This window comes from Homo sapiens, chromosome 15, assembly GCF_000001405.40.
Source record: "Homo sapiens chromosome 15, GRCh38.p14 Primary Assembly".
Lineage (NCBI taxonomy): Eukaryota > Metazoa > Chordata > Mammalia > Primates > Hominidae > Homo > Homo sapiens.
Window position 1 is genome coordinate 38,038,860 of NC_000015.10, and position 24,429 is coordinate 38,063,288.

Consider the following 24,429-nt stretch of genomic DNA (forward strand, 5'->3'; position numbering starts at 1 on the left):
TAAGCAGCACGACTTTTCATATTAGTTACTGCACACTGAGTCATCTCTACAGTGCTTGAAATTAAAGTCAGATCACCAAGGAAGTGGAGGACATTCCACATGTATCCCTCTGCTACAGGATAAGATCCACCTTACTCTCCTCACTTAAGTCAGTCAGGAATTAAATGTAACAAGACAAAATGATATGACAAGGACAGTCAAGAGATTCACATCATCAGCTGTTTCCATCTGTCTAGAGGCAGGTGGAAAAAATGCAGGTTTTAATAGAATAGATTTAATTTAATAGATTTAAATAAGCTATAAGTTAAAATTCTGAGTGTAGGGCTGTTAAATATAGATATGGATGACTAAGAAAAATGGAATCATCCTAAGTAAATTCCAAAAATAGAAGTGGTGTTCACCAGGCTGGGCTTGTTTTGCTATTATTTGGCTAAAGAAGTGTAAGAGAAAACGAATGTTAAGTTCAAGATTATAGCTTCACAGTGAGCTAAGTAAATTATAACTACAGTATAACATAAGCTATATTAGGGCATGGCCTCAATTTCATGCATATCCTCTCAGTCCCATAGTCCCTAATAAATAGTAGCTCTCATTACATAAGTTATCGTTCCTCTTGTGTTCTGATCTTTTAGTGACTCTTTTTGGAACAGGATTTGTAGAGACTCCTATATGAGTCAAGCAGACAGAGTGGAACTCTGTTTCTTACTTCTGCCATCCCTATTTTCTCATTCTAGAGTATACCCCACAGGTATAGATTACTCTATAGCAACCAAGCACATACTTGAACTTCCATGGCAGTTTATCTTTTGTGATAATCATACTGATAAGTAAACAGAATATTTGCCTTGACAAGTAAACTCAGTGGCATCCAGCCCAGATTATATAATGGAACCAAATTCTCGACTGTTCTTAATGTTGCATAACAAATTGCCACAAACTTAGCTACACAAACACCACATATTATTATCTCAGTCTTCGTGGGTCAGAAGTCTGGGCACGAATTAGCTGGTCCTCTGCTCAGTTTCAAAGGCTGCAATCAAGGCATTAGCTGGGCCACATTCTCATCAAAGGTTCAACTAGGGAAAAATCCACTTCCAAGTTCATCCCAGTTGTTGACAGAATTCATCTCTTTGCAGCTACATAACTGGAGCCTCAGCTCTTCACTGACTGTCCTCAGGTTCCAGGGGCCACCTGCAGTTCCTTGCCACATGGATTTCTCCAGCATAGCTGTGTACTTCATCAAGGCACAAGGAGAGTCTCCAGTCTACCAGAGCCCTATGTAATGTAACATAATCAACAAAGTGACGTCCCATTCATATTCAATTGGTCAGAAGCAAGTTACAGTCCCCACCCAGGTCAGAGGGAGGAGATATGACAAAGAAGTAAACATCAGGAGGCTGGGACAATGGGGATACTTAAGGTCCATCCTGCTACAACTTCCACAATGGCGTCTTGACCATGAGGGCTCCACAGACACTGAAGCGGTCACCCAGGCTGCAAGTCTTGGAGGCATTCTCTAGGAATCACAGTCCCATTCTTCTGCAGGCAAACGGAGTCGCCATATGACCCAGTAAGTTTACTCTTAGGTACATTCCCTAGAGAAATAAAAATATATGTCCGTGCAAAAACATGTATGTGAGTGTTCGTAGCAGTGTTATTCATAATAGCCAAAAGGTGGAAACAAGCCAAATGTTTGTCAACTGATGAATGGAGAAATAAAATGTGGTATAACCATACAATGGAACATTAAACAGGAATAAAAAGAAATGGAATGCTGAGACATGCAACAACATGGATGAACCTCAAGTACATTATGCTAAAAGAAAGAAGCCGGTCACAAAGGACCACAGCTTGCATGATTCCATTTATACAAAATGTCCAGAATAGGCAGATCTACAGACTGGAAGTAGAACAGGGATTGCCAAGGGCTGTGGGAAGGGAAAAGTGGGGAACAATGCTAATGGGTAAGAGCTTTCTTTATGGGATAATAAAATGTTCCAAATTTAGATTGTGGTGATAGTTGCACAATTCTGTGAAAATACTAACAATTTTTAATGGGCGACTATTATGGCATGTGAATTATATCTCAGTAAATCTTTTTTTATTAAAAAACAAAAAAGACCCACAAGTTTTGTCATGAAAAATTAAATCTAAAACATATTGCTTAGATACTAAAATATTGAAATATTCACATTTCTCTGGCATTTAAATGATGTGTAAGAACTATAAATATCCAAAATTAGGATCATCTCAGAAAATCTATGCTGCAGTAAGATCTCTTCATAGTACACACACGGAGAGGCAAAAACCAGGTACTGTACATAGATGACAAGTGGTTTTCCCAAGGGCCCAGCAAAAATAATTTAGTTTTGCCATAACATGTGCCAGAATCCATTTCCACATTTTTTGATGAAGATCTCTTCCTTTTCCCTCATTAATTCAAATATTAAATAGGTACTGGTATGGTTTGATAAAACAATAATTTCCAAAATTACTCTGTGTTTTAGAATATGAAAGTTTAACAGACAGCACTAAGGCTATCCTCTCCTGTGTAGTTTAACAGGCAACAGCTCCAGATACCTTTAAGCAAAAGCATACCGGCTTTTTAAGGTGAGGTTCAGCAGGGATCTAGAGAGCTAATAGAGCCAGAAATCTTAGCCAGACAAAGACACCTGCTAATACCAGTTTACAGGTAAGTTTAAACTGATACTAATATAGAGATGTATTTTACACATTGATTGACATGCCCATTTATAAGTTCCCTTTCCATCCAACCTACCTGGCACTTCCATATACCCTACTGCCCAGACCCACATGGAAAGGTTTTATCCTGAGAAACAGTAACTAACCAGAGGCTTTACATATCTGAGTCATTTAACTGCTGCAGACGTGCTACAGTTTTACAAGGCAGTGGTATTTCCTGTAACTTCTTTAGTGTTCTAGTTGATGCCTGCTCTGTTCCCATCCCTTATCACTTAATGGAAGAAGGAAAAAAATAAAAGTGCATTATATCCCTCGAAGCAATCTAGGGATTTCAAATACAACAATACACCTTTTCATTCAGTGCTGTTACCTAATATCTGGGTGACTTCCTAAGGTTTCACCAGAGAAAAAGATAGGCCTTTTTCTTAGCTGCAGAATATCCTTTTAAAAAAAAAAAATCACCATTTTAGGCACATTCATTCCCAGAGGTCCAGGGAGCCGGTTAAGCTAAAGTGAAGGTCCCACTGCTTCATGGCTCCCAGCAGTCATCTAAACTAGGAACTTCATCCATTTTCATAGCCCTTTGGTGAAAAGTAAAAGGGTAAGCCATTCTGTCCCCTTGAGCAAGGACTGCACCTTAGCCAGCTCTGACGTGTTTTGACCAAATTTCTAAGAAATCTATGGTAAAGAGGGCTTCTCCAACCACATCCCCAGGATACTATCTGTGCAGTGACCATTCTCAATCAAGCTCAAGCTCTTTGGCACCATCCCTTGAATGTATGCAAAGTCTCCTTTCACTCCTAGCTAGTCTTGAGAAAAATGTAAAGTGAAATAGGATTCTTTTCAGATTCCACTGAACTATCACTAGGAATTTTAACAATCTTTGGGTGCTACTATGTTTTTAAAATTCCTAAAGATATGACCAAGGATAAAACCAAATGTTTCTGCAATGTTCACATTATGGGGTCCTCTTCATAGTCATGTATCCTCTTCTTATTTTTAATCTCCCCCACTAAACAAAGACATTTTCCTGGTATAGACTATCTCCTCATTGGAAAATGCCTATTGCCCCAGTATATGACACAGTGGGAGGATGGGAGAGGAGGAGCAGTGGGGAAGCTGAGCCCACAGAAGGCATCTAACTAAAGCCTGTGGTCACAGTCGCAAAGCATAGCTCGACACATCTCTCTGGAGTGATCACTGCAACCTCTTCTAGCTCTAAAATTCCCCCCACGTTCCCACTCCTCCTCCGAGGCCCCACCTTCAGGGATGCTGGTGCCGAACAGTCTCAGAGAATCTCAAGCCCAACACCCTGTCTGCAGTTCTGCTTTATTGTTCCTCTCAGGCTGGCTGCTTACAAAATTGTTTGTTCTCCCACTTCCTTTGTCACTACTTCCTCTGGCAGCCAAAACAAGCAGCATTAGGGCAACACACCAATCCCACAACTGGAAAACAAGAAAGAAAATGAACATCTCACTGCATACATGTGGCACAGACACACAAAAACTCAACTTCTGGAGGAAAAGACAAAAGGTATTCTCTCTGTGCCTGTTTTTCTTCCCTCCTTCCCCAGCCTTATCTTTCTTCCCCATCCCACAACAAAACACAGAGGGTTTCTTCAGCCTGGGATCCCTGCCAGGGGGTCAAGGATGCTGGCGGCTCCCAGCTCACAGTCCTTCCTGAGAGGCTGGCATTTGATGGCCAGGGCTGGGCGTCCAGGTTCAAGGTCATCCACGAGAACACTGGTGTGTGTACCATTGGTGGAACCTTGCAGGGAGGTTCCAGGAGCCTCTCTCATCTAAGGATTCCCTTTCCCCACAATGGATCCACTGACGGGCCTTCAGAAATTATAATCTGCTGGTGAGAACAAGCATGAGTGTAGGGAAAAGCCCTTCACTGGGAGAAAACTGACCTCATTCTGATCCATTTCTTCCATTGCCTGCTTGTCCCCATTCGCCCCCACCAGGGTGAGGTTAGGCAGAACATTTAAGCCAGGAGGCTTTTGCTGTTAAATAGAGAAACTAAATCCTGACCTGACTAAAAGCAAAGTCAGGGCCCTGTGACAGTCTGAAGTCCCCTTCAGTTCCAGTATCAACAATTCCATGATAGTGAACGCCAAGGATGGCAAACCCAATTACCAAGAGGGCACGTGACACAAATAGGTGACACCAGCTGGAGGATTCATGCTGCATCTAAAGAGACAGCCACTATTTAGCTCCAGTAGAATTTTGGCATTGAAGAATCTAGACTTGGTTTTGCCAGAAATTCTGTATTACAAGAGAAGGCAGAAATATGATGAGGTTTTTGTACCTGTGAAATATCCTGATTTTAAAATTTTGACAACTAATTCAGCAACTTGACAATTCTATGAAAGCCAAACAAGCCATATCTTCTGGACCTTTCAACCCACACAAGTTTGTAACCTCTGTCTCAAAGCAACTCTCAACTCCATATGACCCAGTCGAGGGTGATGTGGTGAGTAGCCTCATTAAAATCTCTATGAGAAGCTTTTTCAACTAACCAAGCTCCCACTTACAATATATCTCTAGGCACATATTCCCAAACCCCCAGTCCTTGCTTTGCCCTTGGAAATTATTGTATGACATTGCATTATACATGTGAATGTTGTGACAACAGAAAAAGATGGACAATCACTAGAAAGGAAGAGCTTATGTTCATTTGGACCACACAGTTTTACAAAGTGTTTTCATGTACATTTCATATCCCTATTTTTAAAGAAAAAGAAGGAAGGAAGGGAGGGAGGGAAGGGGAAGGGAGGGAGGGAAGGGTAGGGGAGGGGAGGGAAGAAGGGAGGGGAGGGGAGGGGAGGGAAGAAGGGAAGGGAAGAGAGACAAATTACAGCTCAGTCATTAAGTCACTTGCCCGAAGCCACATAGCTGGCAAGTGGAATTCAATCCAAGATCTTCCAATGTGGAACTTTTGAGAGGCCCCTGGATACCTACCCAAAGACCTTTAGCATAACAGTCCTGGCCCATGTTCCCTTCTTCTAGGCCCTGGTCTTGCTTGGCTTTCTGGATGTTCTCAACCTTGACATGACTCCTTATTCTCCAATTCATTTGGACCTCAAGACACTACTACTCTGGCTACAGCCGGTAAGAGCTATATATACTATGGCTAGACCATTGCCTATAGTGAAGATAGTGGTTTCCCCAAATGAAATGGATATTGCCACTATTGATCATCCTAGGTTAAAAAAAAAAAAAAAAAAAAAAAAGAGGCAGGGGGGAAAAAAAGGAAAGAATCCCTCTCTGTTGGGGGGTTGACTGGGGATCCATTCAGTGGGTCAGATTTTGGACTTGGGAAAAGAGGTCAAGAAAATTACCACTGGTAAGGTAGACTGGCCCTTTCACCACGACATGACTAGGGACTGAAGAGAGAGGAAGGCAGTGAGGAACTCCCTGCATGAAGCATGGCTAATGGATCTGTGATAGCTGATGTGAGGCTTTAAATTTGCTTTTGCTTCATTGGAAACCCCTGTTATCCTCAAACTTTCAGTATAATGTTTTAAATACTACAACCTTGTCTTACTTATATTATTTACACTTGGGAGAATTACCATACACACTTGGAGTGAAGTGATTCCAGGAAAATGGAAAACATTCTGCTGGATATCTTCTGATTCTCCCTCCAATCTCCTCTCCATCCTTCTCCACCCTGCTCTGTGCCCTGCCAAGCTGATCTGTATAGACTACATCTTTGGGCCTCTTTGCTCTCAGGCTTCTAGTTGGGTTCATCTAAGGGGGAGATTGGTAGGAAGGAAGGAGGGAAGAGTCTGAGGTTAGGGTATTTATTCCTCCAGTTCTCTCACCATAGGGTTATTAGGTACTGGCTGAATCCCTACAGCTTCTGCCAAATGGTCTTCTCCATGCATTGTTCTCTGTCTTTGCATTCTGGTGACTGCTCCCTTCTATAATGGAAACTCAGGTTTCCAGTCCTGGGGTGCTACATCCTACTGACCCTTTCATAAATTGGCCTTTTATTAAACTCTTCAAATTACCCAACTGAGTGGATATCTGTTTCCTGCCAAGATCCTGACTGACACAACCACTTTGTCATTGTTGCTGCTGTTAACTAGTTGTATTTAGGAATAATTTCCATGGAGAAAAACATGTATCTTAAGGGTCCACTTCAGTAACTACTGACGATGCACACATTCCTGTAACCAACACCCCAATGAGTTAAATTTCTAGCACCCCAAAATTTCCCATTGAAAATTTCCACCACTGACTTCAATTGTCTGTATTTTCTGTATTTCTAGATTAAAATTTATTTCTATGCATTTAGAGAATCAATAAAATTAAAACTTGTACTTCATAATGTACATAGCTGATTTCTCTCACTTTGGCCTTTTCTATCACTTTACCAATATTTACAACATTTTTCCTCTTAGTAGTTGAAAAGACATGTGTCGACCCCTGTGCAAATACTCCATCTTGATGCTCCATTAAGCTCACACTTCAGAACTACACTAAATGAAGAAACGAAGGGCCCCCTCTTCTCCATTTCCCTAACCATCCTCCTTGATCTCCAGTTTCTCTAGCATTCCTGAATACCTGTGATGTCCTACCCTATGCCTGACCCCACATCAAGTTCCAAGTGTATTTCATCAGAATTGTATCTCTTCACTGCAGCTGACTTTAGTTAAGTATACAAAAGACAAAATCAAACTGAGGGTGCTCTAAGGTACAAAAATTCCCCTAAGGGATGCTCGCATTTTGCATTTTTAAAACAGATCTCCAGTTAACTGAAATGATTTGCTCATTGCTCATGTCATAGCTAAGGCAAATCTAGGCAATAGAGTGGAAATGGTTTGGAACAGCAGGTCATTTCCATCCGATGAGATGAGATCTAGCAATCTTTTACCTACTATGTCTATCCACAATGTTGCTCTGACTCATGAAAATGAGTGCATCCACTTATTCCCCCTCCCAACTCACAGGCTTGTGTGACAGAAGAGTAAGTCCTGGCCCCTTTTTAAACCATTTTCCATTAATTAACAATCTCCAACCCTGACACACACCCACATAAAAAGAAGTCAATTAAGTGTTTAGAAATTTTGGAGATGGGGAATAAGAAAGCAGCTGACAACTACGTTGCAGGTTTGAATCTGAAAAACATAAAATTTAATAGCTTTCTAAGAAGGACAAGGAAGCAGCGAATGGAAGGGGAAATTTTTCAAAGTGCTAGAGAGGTACAGATAGTGTTTAATTTTAGATACCATGCTGCTTCTATCAACAACATGAAATCCAGTTGACTATTTCAGCAGCATATGTAACTCAGCTAATCAGAAAAATATGCAAGCAGTTGAGTAGCTGTCTTCTTGACAAACTTTAACATATGGATCTGGAAAACATCCTGAATTCTGGGGCAAAATCAAATCAATCAAAAAGGCATTAGGGATTTCTTGCCATTTAGCAACAAAGCAACCCTCTTTTCAAAAGGTTCAATAACATCCTTTGGTTCCAAAACAAGGTCTCTTGAGCCTCCCTTTGTTGCAAGGGAAAAGTCACTGAACCTGAAATTTTGATTCAGCTCTGTCTCATTGACTCCATTGGTCTTGAACAAACCACTTCACCTTTCCAAAAGACTAGAGGAAGTCTAAGGTCTCATCTAACTCTCCCATTTGACAATTGTATTTTCCTGATTAGTTTTCTGACTCATGTTAATAGCTATCCATTTTATCAAGAAGTTGCAGAGCAATAAAAAAAAGGTGAGTTAACATTTTTATACCTAAACTACCTAAGATATATCTAGGAGAATCTATGCCAAAATATTTAAAGTGTGTATTAGTCTGATCCTGCATTGCTATAAAAAACTACTCGAGACTGGGTAATTTATAAAGAAAAGAGGTTTAATTGGCTCACAGTTCCACAGGCTGTACAGGAAGCATGGCTGGGGAGGCCTTAGGAAACTTACAATCATGGCGGAAGATGAAAGGGAAGAAGGTCATCCTACATGGCTGAAGCAGGAGGAAAAGAGGGAAGGGGGAGGTGCTATACACTTTTAAACAACCAGATCTCATGAGAACTCACTCACTATCATGAGAACAGCAAGGGGAAAATCAACCCTCATGATCCAGTCACCTCCCACCAGGCCCCTCCTCCAACATGGGGATTATAATTGGACATGAGATTTGGGTGGGGTCACAAATCCAAACCATCTCAAAGTGTTTCAGTCAAATTGATGGGATTGCGAATGATTTTTTCTTCCTATGGGTGAAGAAGTCATTCTTGAAGGAGGGGTAATAAAAGGGATTTGTAGCTGTATAACAAAGAATTTGGCTTTTCTCAAAGAAAAGATCTGGCCTATGCCCTGGGCCCTCCTGATGGGAGGGTGTTTGCTTGCCTGGTGGCCTTAGGTCATACTGGATGGTCTTAACAATGGGATTTAGGGTAGGGGGTGACCACAACCATACAGTCCTAGGACAAGGGCTGGCAATAGATCAACAATGTGACATAAAGTGGGGCCTTTGGGTAACACAGTAACAATCAACCTGAAGACTGAGATCAAATACGTATGCAATCAATCATGTCTACTAAATAGAGCCCCAGTAATAACTCTGGTCACTGAGGCTCAGACGGGCTTCTCTAGTTGGCAATTCTCCATGGGTACTGTCACACATCAGTGCCTGCAGAGTGATGTGTTCTGCCTTCATGGGCTGAAAACAACATATGTGTTCTTCCCTTGGCTGATTTAATCTGTATCCTTTCCTTGTAATTAACCATAACTATGAGTAGAATAGCTTTCAGTGAGTTCTGTGAGTCATTCTAGCAAATTATCAAACCTGAGGATGGTTTTGGGAACCCCCTGAACTTTTAGCTGGTATCAGAAGTGAGAACAGTCGTGGGTGCTATAGCCTCTACTTTGTAGTTGGCCTAAACTCTGCAATATCACAGCAATTAAAAAAAATTAAGATTTAAGATCAATATTTTGCTTCCTAAAAATGCTATGGCCTTTGACAATTTCCCACAAAACAGCCAACAGCCTCCAAACATGCTCTTAATTTATCCTCTCCCTTCTCTTCTGTCACTGTCCCATGTCTGCACTCCACTCTTCCCCCACCAAGAAATTATTATTTACTTTTAATGAAGGTCAGTTTTCTTATTTCTCTGGACTTTTGACTACTAATATTCATTGGAATTTCACCTTCCAATTAAGAGTTATCTTTCTTTCTTCTGGTTATTTATGTACACATTTAAAATTTTCTGCTAAGAAAATGTACATATTCTTTTAATAAAAAAGTAACCTCCTCAAAAGCAGGCCCACATATTTTTCAGTCTTCAGACAGATTTGCACATGAAAATAAAACTGTGCAGCCAGAACAACTAATTGGAAACAATTTATATTTGATAGGTTTAATATTCTCTTTTCTGATTTTTGACATTCTTGCCATAACTTATATCCTAGTTTCTAGTCCCCCAAAGTTTCTCTTCTATTTCAAAATTTTCCTTAAACTTTGGCTGACACACCCTTTACATCCTGGCCCCTTCTTCCCCTCTTCTCTATAGCATTGTCTTCTTTTCTGCTAGTTATTCTCTGCTCTTTGCTAAGTAAAACCTGCAATCCTATCTACGTTTCCTTGTCTTTTTCTCACAGAATGTCTCCAATATTCTTTTTAAGACAAAATCAAAATCATCTACATCCACACAGCTTACTGACTATATTAACATGACTTTACTACTTCAAAGTGGTCATAAACGTAATTTTACTATTCCAGGAAATTTGCTCATAAAAATAAAAGTTAAAAATGAATTTATTTTTTATTCCAGCAACTTCCTGAAATACCAATCAATTTTCAATAGAAAGCATTAAATGATAATGTATACCCCAAGACTCTTTGAACCCCTCGTCAGAATTCTCACCTCATTGTGTCCATTAACCCTAACCTGTTGTATCATAATCCATATCCAACTCTAACCAAGCCCTGCGTTGAAAGACCCACTTTCATCTAGATGAGTCTCTAAGTCTCTAAAATTTCAATAAATTTCCTGACTTTGCCTTCCCTCTTTTGAGGCTCTGTTAAGACTATGTCTACATTATGGTCTCTCTTACCATGGTAAGAACAAACTCAGCTTTGTGCCATTATAGGTAGTTTGGTGATGTTTGGGGAAGCCAGCATTCACCACAAAGCTCAGGAGAAGAATAAGATAACAAGCCATAATTTTCCTCTGTGATTGAATGTTTATACATGTGTTTTAGGTGGAGTGGGAGGCAGGGAAATGTGTTGTAGGGTGGTAGGAAAGAGAAAGAAATATACAGACATATGCCACTTTAAAATTTTAGCAGATTTCTATAACTAATGTCTCATTAGACCCTTAAAACAATGCTATGTAGCACACAGGACATATATTAGGGTCCTCATTTTAAAGACGGAGACTCTAGACTCATGGGGTGACGTGAGATTAAGATTTGGGACACATAACATGAAACAGCTAGAGGAAATTGCTAAAGCAGGAGTCAGCAAACTGCAACCTGCAGGCCAAATCCGGCCCTGAGGCCTGTTTATGTAAATAAAAGTATATTGAATACAGCCATTTTCTCATTTGTTTGCGTAATTGTCTATAGTTGCTTTGCTGCTATAATAGTATTGTTAAGTAGTTCTGACAGAGACCATATGGTGCACAAAGTCTAAAATATTTTCTGGATGGCCCTTTATAAAACAGGTTTGCCAATCCCTGTTCTAATGCAACACAACATAAAGTTAACTTCCCCCAAAATGTAATAAAATTATTAAACTCTAAAGGCCTTGAAGATGTGAGTTGGATAGTTCTTCATCAGGCAAAGGGATATACAATAATATGAAGTGATAAATTACCAGGTTCTAAAGGGTTTCTAAATAATAGGAAAGAGTTCTCCTGGGAAGTTCTCAACCCAGACACAGATAGCAATGATACTGTGAACTGAAATAGTGTAGGTAAAGGCCTATCATTCACCCAGCACTGTAGGCATCTAGGCAGCAGCAAATAGGAAGAGAAATCGCTATAATAACAAAAATATTGTTGATAAAACTTGAACTTTAAAGACAATGAGAAGAGAAAAGATCAAGAGAATGCTGTACAATTGCTGACTCAACAGTAGCTAAGAAAGGAAACAAAGCTGACACAGGCAGGCATGAATTGTTAGGAAATCAATAGCTTAATGAGTAATCGAGTCAGCTTTCCTAGAACACCCAGAATGAGTTATGTCTGCGTTTTTGCTTTTCTTTTGCAACCTAAACTTCAGGCCTCTGACTGGTCTCTCTGCTTCCAGGCTTGCTCCCCTATATTCTACTCCCCAGAAAAAATTATCCTTTTACAACAGAAATTAGGTCATGTTAATACTTTGCTCAAAACCCTCCAGTGACTTCACATTTCACCAGAGGTTGATCATTCTTGAAGCTAATAAATCTGCAGATTGAGGGCCCCTCATTGCACAGGGCTCTTCCAAGGCCCTGGAAGGGGCTCTGGCAATGTGCTCATGTGGTCATTTTTTTTTAAAATTTGCAAATATGAGATATTTTTACCAAAGCTCTTTATTGCTTATTTCCCTCTGTCACATTTCTCTTTAAGTCAAGTGGTGTGAGAATAGACAGACACTTTAGGGCCCAGGGAAGGAGAAGTTGAATTGGAGAAGCATTTAGTTTGGGTTAGTAGGATGTATTATTGTGGTTCACAGTTACTTCAGTGTAAAAATTTTCCTGGTGTTGGAATGGCTTCCAGGAATACTTCTGCCATTCTCTGTACCAATCTATGTTGTGACATTAAAGTTCACAGCCTGAGATTATAAAATAAGAACTTGTCTTCATCATACCAGAAATATGTGGCTAGTAGAGGAGAAAAGGGGGTTGAAATATATGCAGCCAGAAGCGAGTACACAGAAAATTCTTACAAATCTTATGGTCATATAAAGAAAGAAAGTTGAGAAAAGTTTTCTCAAATTGACGACAATTCTAAAAAACATACATAGCATTAGCAGTAATGAGTTATAAAATTAAAGAAGGTTTTTTCCATGAAATCAACAATAAAAAGATAAATTTTGTCCCAACAAGCTAAAGACTGAATTATCTTCAGTTCTTCCTATAGAAAATGATGTTAGAAAATAATATGAATAATCAGTTATTTCAGTGTAAACTAATGAAGAGGGAAAAAGTAATGCAACTAACTTTGTTTATACCTTTAAAGAAAAAAAAGGAGAAAAAAGTAATACAGAGAGGTGTCACAGTTAGTAAAATTATTACGGTTTGGGTTTTTTTTTTGGATTTTGTGGTATGTGTAGTATCTTTTAAAACTGATATTATTATGATTTTTTTCATTCCAAATAAGTATTAGGTTCGTAGCTAATTTTGTATTCTTTTACTTATAGAAAGCCTCAGGATTATAAGCTTCAAACCCTACAAATCCTGGATCCACCCTTGATTCTCAGAGTTAAATACAAAGCCTTTAAAATTGGCCTGTCAAGCCCCCATGATGACGGCTTGCTACTCTCTGACCCATCTCCAACATCCCACCCTTACTCACTCCATGCAAGCCACTGTAGCCACTTGCTGATCCTAGATCATACCCAGTACCTTCCTGCCACAGGACTTTTGCACTGGCTGTTTCCTCTGTATAATACGCTTTCCCCAGATATCACCATGACTTTTCTCTAACTTTCTTCAGGTCTCTGCTAACATATTACCATAACAGAGCAGCATTCCCTGATTACCTATAAAAAATAACACTGTCATCCAGCTCCTGCCACTTTCTATCACCTTACATTGTCTTATGTTCCTTAACAATTAACATCATGTAATACTTTAGTTATTTATTACCAACTTTCCCAAGTAGAATGTAAGCTTTGAAAGGAAGGAGACTCATGTTCGCTGCTGTGTCCCCATCCCCAGGGCCTAGAACAGTTCCTGGCTCATAGTTAGAACTTTAAATTCGTTACTGAGTGAATGACTAAATGAACAAAAGAATGAATGAGTGCATGGAATTATTAACACCAGAATTTAAAGGGATTAATAGTAAATACAAGACCAGATTGTGACCATACTTTATTTCATTTGCAATTTGCTGTATATAATACATAGTTTGATAAACTACATCTAACTCATTTGAGAGAAGCGTTTTAGTTCTTTTCAACTAGAACTTACAGTTGCAAATAAAGAGGCCAAAGGAAGAACCTTTTCAAGTACTCCCGAGGGCAAATAATTAAACTGTTTGGGCACATCATTATGTCTCTTTCTGAGAGGGTAAAACAGGTAAGCAAATTTTTATCAACGAGCACCTGACTGAGGCCCATTCCTATTGGCTGATAACATTCCTTTTATAATATCTTAATCTTGAAGTACCAATTGCCTTTTTAAAATATTCTTAAAATTGTGACTTACCTCTTATATAACTAAGCACAGAAATTCACATCCTACAAGTTGGAAGGAGCATCAGAGATCACTGGGCCCGATGGTTCCCAAACCAGTTGTGTATTAGGAGGACCTGAGGAATTAAAAAATATATAGATTTCCTGGCCCTGGAGCTGCTATAGCAGAATCTAATGGTGGAGCCTACAGAGCTATATTTTTTAGCAGGCTCTCCTCATAATTTTTTGCAGCCTTCCTGACTCACCAGTATTTGAGAACTACTGATCTTGTTTTCTCTTCTTACTTACTGTGTTTCCCAAATGGTGAAACTAGTATGTACACATAACCCTTGACTAGGAAATAGAAAAAAAGAATCCATTATCGTCTAGATGGTGGTTCTCCATCTGACTGAACACATGGAATCATCTAGAAAGCTTTTATTTTAATGGCTAGGCTCTCCTCCCAGCTGATGAAATCAGACTCTCTGGGTAAGACCTACAGCACTCGTGTTTTTAAAGCTCTATAGTGAGTCTAATGTTCAACCAGGATTGAGGAACCCTGATCAAGAAGACAAGAATTTCAAGAAACAGAGAAACTATATTTGTCTTTCTTCCTTAGGCACTTCCTACTTTCTGAGTCTGACATTCATATATCTAAAAAGGCAACTTGGAGACATCCCCTCCTACTGAGGTTTTTACAGTTGAGAATCTTAGATTCTAGAGAGAAACTTGCCCAAGATCAAATAATTAATTAGAGGCTGATTTAGAACCTGAACCCAGGTTTCTCATTTCCAGAGCTGATGCAACTTTTACTACATCAAAATCTTCCTATTCACTGTATTTCATTTCATAAGCAAGCCTCTGTGATCTCAGAGAATCTTTATTCAGTCTCCTGGTCATACCAGCACTCTTTCAGTGAATTACAGGCAGGAGCTAGTTATAAATTCAATGGCGGGCCAGATAAGCAGCTGCCCATGACACCAATCTATAACAGCATTTTCCAAACTTGCCTGGTCAAAAGATTCTTGTGGGGAAATTGTTAATAATACAGATTCCCAGATTTCGCCACTGAATATTTTGATTCAGTAGACTTAGTTCAGGATCTTGAAATACGTAAGTATGACAAAGGCTACAGCTGATTCATATGCTTGGCAAGTTTGGGAGAGACTGTACTAAAATATTATTAAAATAAGTGATATTTTATCCCACTTAAACTGATTTCTATATGTGACTCTTTAGAGCAGGAGTTGACAAATTTTTCTATAATGGGTCAGATGGAATTTGTTTAGGTTCTGCAGGCTGTGTGGTTTCTGTTGCAACTACTCAATTTGTTGCGGTAGTGTGAAAGCAGCCATCAACTATATAGATGAATGGGAATGGCTATATTCTATCAAAACTGTTTACAAAAACAGGCAGTGGACTGGACTGGACCCACACACTATAAGTTGGCAACTCCCTGATTTACATAACGATAAAAATGTAAATTTATAATTGTAACAAATATTTGCCTACAAGAAATAAGAATAAACAAAAATAGTGACTTAAATAAATAAGGATTTATTTCATCTCACATAACAAATTTAGACTTAGGTGATTGCTGTTGTAAGTTTAGCAATTTAATAACATGTCAAAAGTGGGACCATTTACCTTCAGAAACTTCTAGAAGGCATCTTCTTTTGTATTATTGGTTAGATTTGGATCACATGCCCACACCAGGTTTTATGACTAAGTACACTGTTCCTGAAATCAAGGGAATTCTGTCCAAAAAGTGCTGGGGTGGGGAGCAGGGAGTGTGGAGGTGGATGACTAAGATCATTAATATAGAAGAAAGCTGGGTAAGTAGTGCTTTTATGTAGCCAGCTCACAGTGTCTGTCACAGTCCAGCCCTTTGGCAATCTGACATCCACACACATCCTTCTTCCTACACATGCAGTTTTTAGGTGTACTCACCCTTCTCCCTAAGGAAGGAAAACTATGACATTCCTCTAACTACTACATTCACATCCAAATCTAGTATCTCTAGACAATGTTCGATCTTCATTTGGTCCAGAGATAAGTTCTTTCAGGTGTGGAAATTTTCTCCAAAAATCAGGTTTCCTGCTTCCAACATATCTAATATACAATTGTTGGAAAAGACTAATCTTTAATATTTGCTAGCATATACTTCATCCTGTTAGAAAGACATAGTGAGAAATGCCTGCCCTCTCAATGGAGACAGTCTTTGATTAGTCAATCTGACAATTCCTGGTTCTATTCTTGACGAAACTCTCCTGATTTTTCTTCCATAGCCTCTGGTTCTTCCCTCTAGTAAGATATGCCTTAATCACTATTTTTAATGCCTGTTTCTGAAATGAGCATTCAAGAGAAATTTCTCAAATGTTAGCAACCTCTGCGTGTTCGTACAAATTCAGATACCTAAAGATTGCCTTTGGGGTTCAATAATTACATGCAGTTGTTGGTGAGGCTTGGAGTATCTTTAAGCAATAAAGTTCCTCTCAAAAACTCAGTAGATTCCGTCTATTTGTGTCTGGTCAATTCCTTGCATTAGTAACCACAGCTAAAGATCTCGTCTAGACAGTCTTTGAGGCTAAGAATCCTTGTCTCTCTGCAGCTAGATCCTGTGCTCTTCTAAATCCTCTCGGTATTTAACTCACACAATCAGGTTTTTGTGCTAAAAAATCTCCAGTTTTATCAGTCTTAAAGATGCCACTTTCCCACCTCTGCTTGTTTTAACTTGAGATATCAAAGACACCTTCTCCAACCCTACAAAGTATGGAATTCTGTTCATTTAGACTGGAGGTCACAGTTAGAAAGCATCTCTCTCAGCAGTCATACTTTCTTCCCTCTCTGATTAGAGATTACCTATCTAATTTAAGTTTGCCTCTCATAGTAAGACTTTTTTTGCTAACAGCCATTAAAGTAACCCAACACACAGGAACATCCTGAATTTTTCCTTTCATTTCCCATGCCACTCTAACCTTAGTCAACCTGTGGTCTGCATTATAAGACAGATCAGGCCAATGGTTGCTTAAATATTTTGCTATACCGAAGGTTTTCCTGCCTGACAGTTGAGTCCGCAACCTCCACTCTGACCTAACAAAAAGTGTGTTTCTTGCAGTATTCCACTTCCAGGACCCAAATTCTCTATCAGTTAGATATGCTTTCAGCTATAAACCATTAAAACTCAATGAACTACAGATGAAACAAATAAAAATATTTTTCTCTAACAGAAATCTAGGTGTGAGTAGTAGCATTGGTTCCAAGGCATCAAGGCCCTAAGTCAGCATCTCTGTGATTCTCGTGGCCTCCTGCTCATAGTCACGAGATGGTTGCAGCACATCATCACATCACCTTGGAAGGCAGGAAGCAGGTGGTAGTGTGATGCAGAGCTTTTCTTCTCAGCCTCTGTCTCTTATATCAAGAAGTAAAATTTTTCCCAAAGCCCCTCAACAGCCTTTTACTTAAATCTCATTGGCCAGAATTGGATAAGAAGCCTGCTCACCTTAGACTTGGGCATACCTTCCATGGAATCAAAGGATCTGCACTGGGGGAAAAAAGTTAGGGTCCCTTAAGCAAGGAATACTTAGCCAACGGTGTCTGCCGTAGACTGCCCCCAACAAAACTGACAAGAGCCCAAATGGAAGTTTTAAAACTTAAGCTAAGGCTGGGCGTGGTGGCTCACTCCTGTCATCGCAGCACTTTGGAAGGCCGAGGCGGGAGGATCACTTGAGCCCAGGAGTTCAAGACCAGCCTGGGCAACATGGCAAAACACCATCCCTCTCTCTCTGTCTCTCTCTCTCTCTCCACACACACACACACACTACAAAAACTTAGCCAGGTGTGGTGGCTCATGCCTGTGATCCCAGCTACTCGAGAGGCTGAGAGGTGGGACGATCACCTGAGCCCAGGAAATTGAGGCTGCAGTGAGCTGTGATCGCATCACTGCACTCCAGCCCGGGTGACAGAGCAAGAACTTGCCTCAAAACAAAAAAAAATTAAACTAAAAACAAATAAAACCTCCTCATAAACCTTTTCTCATGACACTGCAAATTGCACAGTACAACTATGGGCTGCACTGAAACTCTGGAAATGAGCTATACTCATTTTCCTTCTTTCTTTCTTTCTTTCTCTCTTTTCTTTCTTTTCTCTCTCTTTTCTCTCTTTTTCTCTTTCTTTTCTTTCTTTCTTTCTTTCTCTCTTTCTTTCTCTCTCTCTCTCTCTGTCTGTCTGACTTTTTGTCTGACTGTCTTTTTTTGACACAGGGTCTCGCTCTATTGCCCAGGCTAGAGTGCAGTGGCACGATCTCGGCTCACTGCAGCCTCGACCTCTTGGGCTCAAGTGATCCTCCCACCTCAGCCTCCCCAGTAGCTGAGACTGAGACTACAGGCCACCATGCCTGGCTAGTATCTTTTTTTTTTTTTTTTTTTTTTTTGTAGAGACAAGGTTTTGCCATGTTGCCCAAGCTGGTCTTGAACATCTGGCCCCAGGTAATCTGCCCATCTTGGCCTCCCAAAGTTCCAGGATTGCAAGTATGAGCCACCACACCCGGCCTTATATTCATTTTCTACTGCTGCATAACAAACTACTACAGACTTAGCATCTTAAAACAATACTCATTTACTATCTCACAGTCTGTAAGTCAGAAGTCCAGAGGGTCTCTACTGGTTTCTCTAGATAGAATCTCAGGAGGTTAAAATCAAAGCTTGGCTCTGGGGAAGAATCCACTTACAAGCTCATTCAAGTTGTTGGCAGAGTTTATTTCCTTATGATTGGTAGGACTGAGGTCCCTGCCTTCCTTGCTCTCAGTGGGGAGTTGCTCACAGCTCCTAAAGGCTGATCTCTGCTCCTTGCATTCGCCTCCCTCATCTTCAAAGCCCACAGTGGCATTTACATCCTTCTTTTGCTTCGAATTTCTGACTTTTTTCCCATGACCAGCTGGAGAACACTCTAAGTTGTAATATGGTTAGATTAGACCCACCCTGATAATCTCTTCTATGGTCTACTGATAAATAACCATAATTATACCTGCAAAATCTCTTTTGCCACATAAACTAACATAACAAGCACAGTGATACCGGGGGCAAGCGTATTGGAGCCACCTTGGAATTCTGCCCATCACACAAGCAATTCCATGGCCCCAGTTAAATAATAGTTAAAACAGATATTTAAAGATTATCAGTCCAAAGTCACCAGCAGAGGCTGGTTGCATTTCATAGTCCATGTACTGGGCCTGGCATATGAATACATATGCTAAACACATATCTGTGGCTTACTGATCAAGTAAGCCTGGCATATAGGCTAAGCTGCCCATCCTAAGACAAGAATTGAGAGGTGACCATGCCCCTTATGTTTTATGAAGCCAGTACCACACGGATGAGGGGTGGAGACACAAGCAGATACTAGTGGACAGGAATGTCACCAAAAGGGCCAGAGAGTCAAGAGAAGCTAAACACAACCTGGGTATCTGTACTTTTTTTTTTTTTTTTTTTTTTTTTAGGCAGAGTCTTGCTCTGTCGCCCAGGCTGGAGTGCAGTGGCATGATCTTGGCTCACTGCAGCCTCGATTTCCCAAGTTTAAGCAATTCTTGTGCCTCAGCCTCCCAAGTAGCTGGGATTACAAGCATGTGCCAGCACGCCAAGCTAATTTTTGTATTTTCAGTAGAGACAGGATTTCACCATGTTGGCCAGGCTGGTCTCGAACTCCTGACCTCAGGTGATCCACCCGCGTCAGCCTCCCAAAGTGCTGGGATTACAGGTGTGAGTCACCACGTCCTGCCACTATCTGTACATTTTAAATAGACCTTAATATTTCATCCTTCCCCAAGCCCTAAAACAAATGGAGAGGGTTCTTTTTCTCCACATTCCTCAGTCTGCATTTTGACCTTTGGGAACCCCCTTTCCCTTTCACAGCTGCCCTTTGAATTGCTAAACTTAGCTAGATTCCACTGTCTGGGACTTTCCAGGGCTCAGCACTTTTCTAAAGATTAATTAACATGCAGGCCACTTTCCAAATCATCCTCTTAAAAGTTATCACCGTCTTCTCTCTCACTCCTCTCGTAATCCACCTCACACATGCTCACACGCACACTCGCACGCACACCCGCACACACCCTCGCGTGTGCACACACACTCTTCTCTCTCTCCACCCCAAACCTAAGTTTCAGAATGCTTTTACAGCTGGTTTTGCTAGTATATATAGTCCACAATGTGGAAGGAGTTTCTTGCTTAATTTTTACAGTTTTGAAAAATGTGTAACTAGGAACCTGTTGCCCAAACAGGCTGCAAGTTCATATCCCTCTGGAGTTTTGTTTTGTTGTTTTTGTTTTCCCCGAATCTAGTTATTCTCACCATGGAGTTTGGTTTTTGTTTTTTGTTTGTCCTCACAGGTTCCAGGTTATCTTGCTATAAAATTCCCAGGGGTGTCCCTAAGTCTATTGCCCTGGACCTTCTAGGAACCCATGGAAAATATAGCTTATTTATAGTTTGTCGCAAGTCAAGATGAGGTTAATTAAACTATGTTGGTTGTTTAAGACGAGAGAATTAAATGGAAGGAAACAAGTGGAGAGCAGTTGGTATTTGGGGCTAAGCAAGATATTTGCAAAGTACTGACAACCTAATCAATTACCTGAGACAAAGAGGACTGAGACACAAGACTGTCGATCAGAGGGAGGGAAGCGATACTTTACCATAGATGGACTTTCTAAGAAACCAATACCTTCGTCCTCAGGACCAACACAAAAGCACTCAAATTCAATTCCTTTCAGACAGGAGCCATTGATACCTAAAAGTGGAGCAGCTCTGGAGTTTTGTTTTAATTTCAAGATATTTAGATTTTACGCCTTTAAGACCTCCAGTTACCTTAGAGAGTCCAAGTGCATTATGTATAATGTGCATATGTCTCTGCAGACCACATAGTACATTCTCAGGAATTCCTTAAATAAATGTTGGCCTCTGAGTCATTTCTTGATTTCACTTGCATGTCTTCTTTTTTTTAAGCCAGGCATTAAAAAGATGACACAGAAAAATTACAGAGTCAGCATATATTTGAATACTGGATAAAAGGGAAGAGGATGAAATGGATTTTTCAAAGCTTCTAAAGAAAACAGAACTAGGTAATACATGATGTTGGACTTAGTCTAATGATTTGGACATTTAATGAGACATGAATAAAAATGGAATAAAGTGGTAGAGTTGTGGCTTTTTATCCTTATTTTGAAAATAAATTTTCAAAAGAGAACCCAAATACAAAAAGGATAAAAATAAAGATTCTCTGCTTGAAGTAAAGACATGGAACCCAGAGCCCTATTCAATGTCTGAGCTTAATTTATCCTCCAAGTTTGTCCTGACTTAACTCTATGGAACTTTCAGAGATCTTTGGAGCACAGTTTGAAAATATACAACCATCTGATGGGTAAATTACCTGAAACTTTGACCCCATATAAGTTGCTTAATTTTTGACTGGCAACTGGGTAGTATGAAGGACAGCTAGAAATGTTTCACCAAAGCCATCTCAGGTGACATAAGACATTGAAATATCAACACAAGGGAACAGTATATGTGGCCAGCACCTTTGAAAACCAACTTATATATTTAGTCTAAATGTAAGAAAATCCGCAGTAAAAACCTTGAATGATATTTCTTTGTCAAGGCAAGTGAAGCTAAATCTGAGACGAAAAAATAACATGTGCAAACTCTCCCTGATTGCCTCATTTCTTTTTTATAGTGTTGAATAATACATGTATATTTATACATATGTATATATTTGCGAATCACCTCAAGCTCTTTTTGGCAAGAGGTGAGAAACGGAAAATAGTGAAGGAGGAAAGAAAGACTTCAAAGACAAGGTGGAAAAGAAAAGCTAGGTGTGATAAAGATCCAGGGGTCAAAATGGATAAATTTGGGGAGAATTCAGCCACTCATTCATTAATTACTTATTAAACACTGAGCTAAGGATCACATGCCAGGCCCTGGGATACAAAGATGAGAGTACTGCCTCAGTAGAGCTGACAAGCTAATAGTCCCTTCGTCTGCAAAATGAGGCTAATAATAGTAATCACTTCACAGGGTTGTGAGGATTAAATGAGATGATCTGTGCAAACCACCTTGCATTACTGAACTACTTAATAAATCAACTACTTTTCTCCTCGTTTCTTCCTGATATTTCACTCTAAATTGGAGACGGAAAGAGAGATTCATAAGAGTGTTTGGATTTTAATACACTCACACTCCAAATTTATTTTGAGCTGCTCATGTTAATAGCAGCAGAACATTTCTTTCTTCTTTTACTCCTGGTGTTAGAAAGCTTTAAGCAATGAATTGCAGTAGAGACTATAGGAGTAAAGTGTGAATGTATGCAAGAATATTTGAGAGAAGAAATAAAAACAGAAAATAAAGACCAAAGGGATGTGTACAATAATTGAAGAGTGGCCATTGTATTTAGGACAACCTTCCAATTATCCATAAGGATCATTAAATAAGGGAAAGAAGAATCAGCCAGCTAGTGCAGCTCCAGGTGACAGTCTCCAGGCCTATTCAGAGGTTTGGAGTACATTGGAATTACAAATCAATGCAGATTAAAGTCATCTCTCCCTGATCAGCACCAGGTACCGAACCTCAGCATCAACAAGACCGGCCCAGATTCACTTGGATCGCTGTAAGGCCGCCTATCTCATGGAGGCAGTCTAGATGAGTCTAGATAGAGGACAGATACGTTAAGATTTTTGTTTTTGTTTTTTGTTTTTTAGGCCCAGTGCGGTGGCTCTAGCCTGTAATCCCAGCACTTTGGGAGGTCGCAGCAGGAGGATAGCTTGAGCCCAGAGTTTGAGACCAGCCTGAGCAACACAGTGCGACCTCCATCTCTACAAAAAAAATTAAAATAAAAATAAATTAGGTGGGTGTGGTGGTGCATGCCTCTTGTCCCAGCTACTCAGGAGGCTGAGGTGGGAAGATCGCTTGAGCTTAGGAGGTCAAGGCTGTAGTGAGCTGTGATCACACCACTGCACTCCAGCACTGGGTGACAGAATGAGATGCTGTCTCAGAAAAATAAAAAAAAAAAAAAAGTTTTTTCAGAAAAAGAAGAAACAGGAGCGCAGTCATTAGGGAGCAGCAGAGTAAATAAAATCCTAAACACCTGTCTCCAAACCTCAATCAATGGTAAACAGCCGCTGCTTGCTGTCCTTAATTTTAACGTTTTTTTTCTTTTCTAGTGAAGAAAATGTCCCGATAGAAGAAATGACTGATGACATAAGGACAGTGCTAAATTAATAACCAATCATTCCTCTTCCTCCTCCAGCTGTGTAGCAGACTCCTCTTATAAACCTCTGCGAAGTTCTACTTGAAAAGCTGTGGTTTCATTTCAAAGGAAACCAGCAATCAGGGGGATCTCTACAGGAAAATCTCTTCCCTATGTCTTCTTTAGACTCTTCAAAAAGGAGAGAGAGCACAAAAAAAGAAAATACACAAGTAAATAGGTTCAAGTACATCAAGAATCACAGTTTCTAAAAAGGCTAGTGAAAGGTCAATGACTTCAGAGTCAAGAAATCCATTTCTAATGTTTCTTCAGCTGTGACTCATTGTGAAATGTTGAGGAGGGTCACAGAAGCCTCCAGCCCTCGGTTTCCCCAGCTGTAAAACAAATATTTGAATAAGTGGCCAGTCCACATTATAGCTGATGTGCTTTCAGGGACTCAAAATGAGAATCATAAATATGTAAAAATACAAAGATAAGGTGTTCCCTGTAGAAAAACACTAAACTAGCAGAAAAAGAAACATCACATTTGTGTGCTAATTGGGTATTCCAGATTAAAGTAATTTGTTAAAAATTATTGGAAGAAAAATCCATAATTTGGCAATAAAAAGGATTTCCGTAAGAAGAGACAGACAAGATCATAACAGATTCAGTGACTCTAGGTTACTCAGCCAAATTAAAATGCTCTCCTTTCATCCTCGAAGGGAAATCCTTGAGAAGTTTGTGGACCGTCACCATCTGTTCAGCAAAACATGCATCAACATAATATTTTCCACATGTTTTTTGTTTTCTTTTTAATTTTGCAAACGGAGATTAATCTTTTCCTAGTCAGAATGTTTTACTATAACCATTGTCAGAGGAAATAAGTGGAAACTCGGTTTTGATCCCACTTCTCTCCCTACCCACTCGCCACCATTTGCGTTTTCTATGGTGATGTGTGGATTAAAGCTGAGGAGAAACTAATAATTCACATCCTTTGCAGATCATGACAAGTCTGTATTTCATAAAACTGGAGAAATCCTGCTCTGAAGCTCATTTTTCATGCAGCTACAAAATCATCTCTTTCTTCTCATCAGAACTCCATAGTGACATCCATCAATAGCTGGATCAAGGCCAAGAGTGCCATAACCACCTACGGATTCA

The 24,429-nt window shown here is 39.9% G+C and overlaps 1 protein-coding gene and 1 long non-coding RNA gene across 2 annotated transcripts in view; both read left to right on the top strand.

Moving 5' to 3' along the window:
* The window catches only part of TMCO5A (transmembrane and coiled-coil domains 5A), a 106,226-nt gene extending 104,220 nt beyond the window's left edge, over window positions 1-2,006 (top strand). Inside the window, exon 13 of the mRNA XM_047432176.1 lies at window positions 1,137-2,006. The gene's annotated coding sequence lies outside the window, so the exon portion shown is untranslated. The remainder of the gene's footprint in view (window positions 1-1,136) is intronic.
* LINC02345 (long intergenic non-protein coding RNA 2345) lies at window positions 1,534-23,481 on the top strand. The gene is made up of 4 exons (NR_120330.1): window positions 1,534-1,570; window positions 5,715-5,816; window positions 21,036-21,151; window positions 23,332-23,481. It is a non-coding gene; the product is annotated as a long intergenic non-protein coding RNA 2345 (long non-coding RNA).
* Window positions 23,482-24,429: the final 948 nt, after the last annotated feature.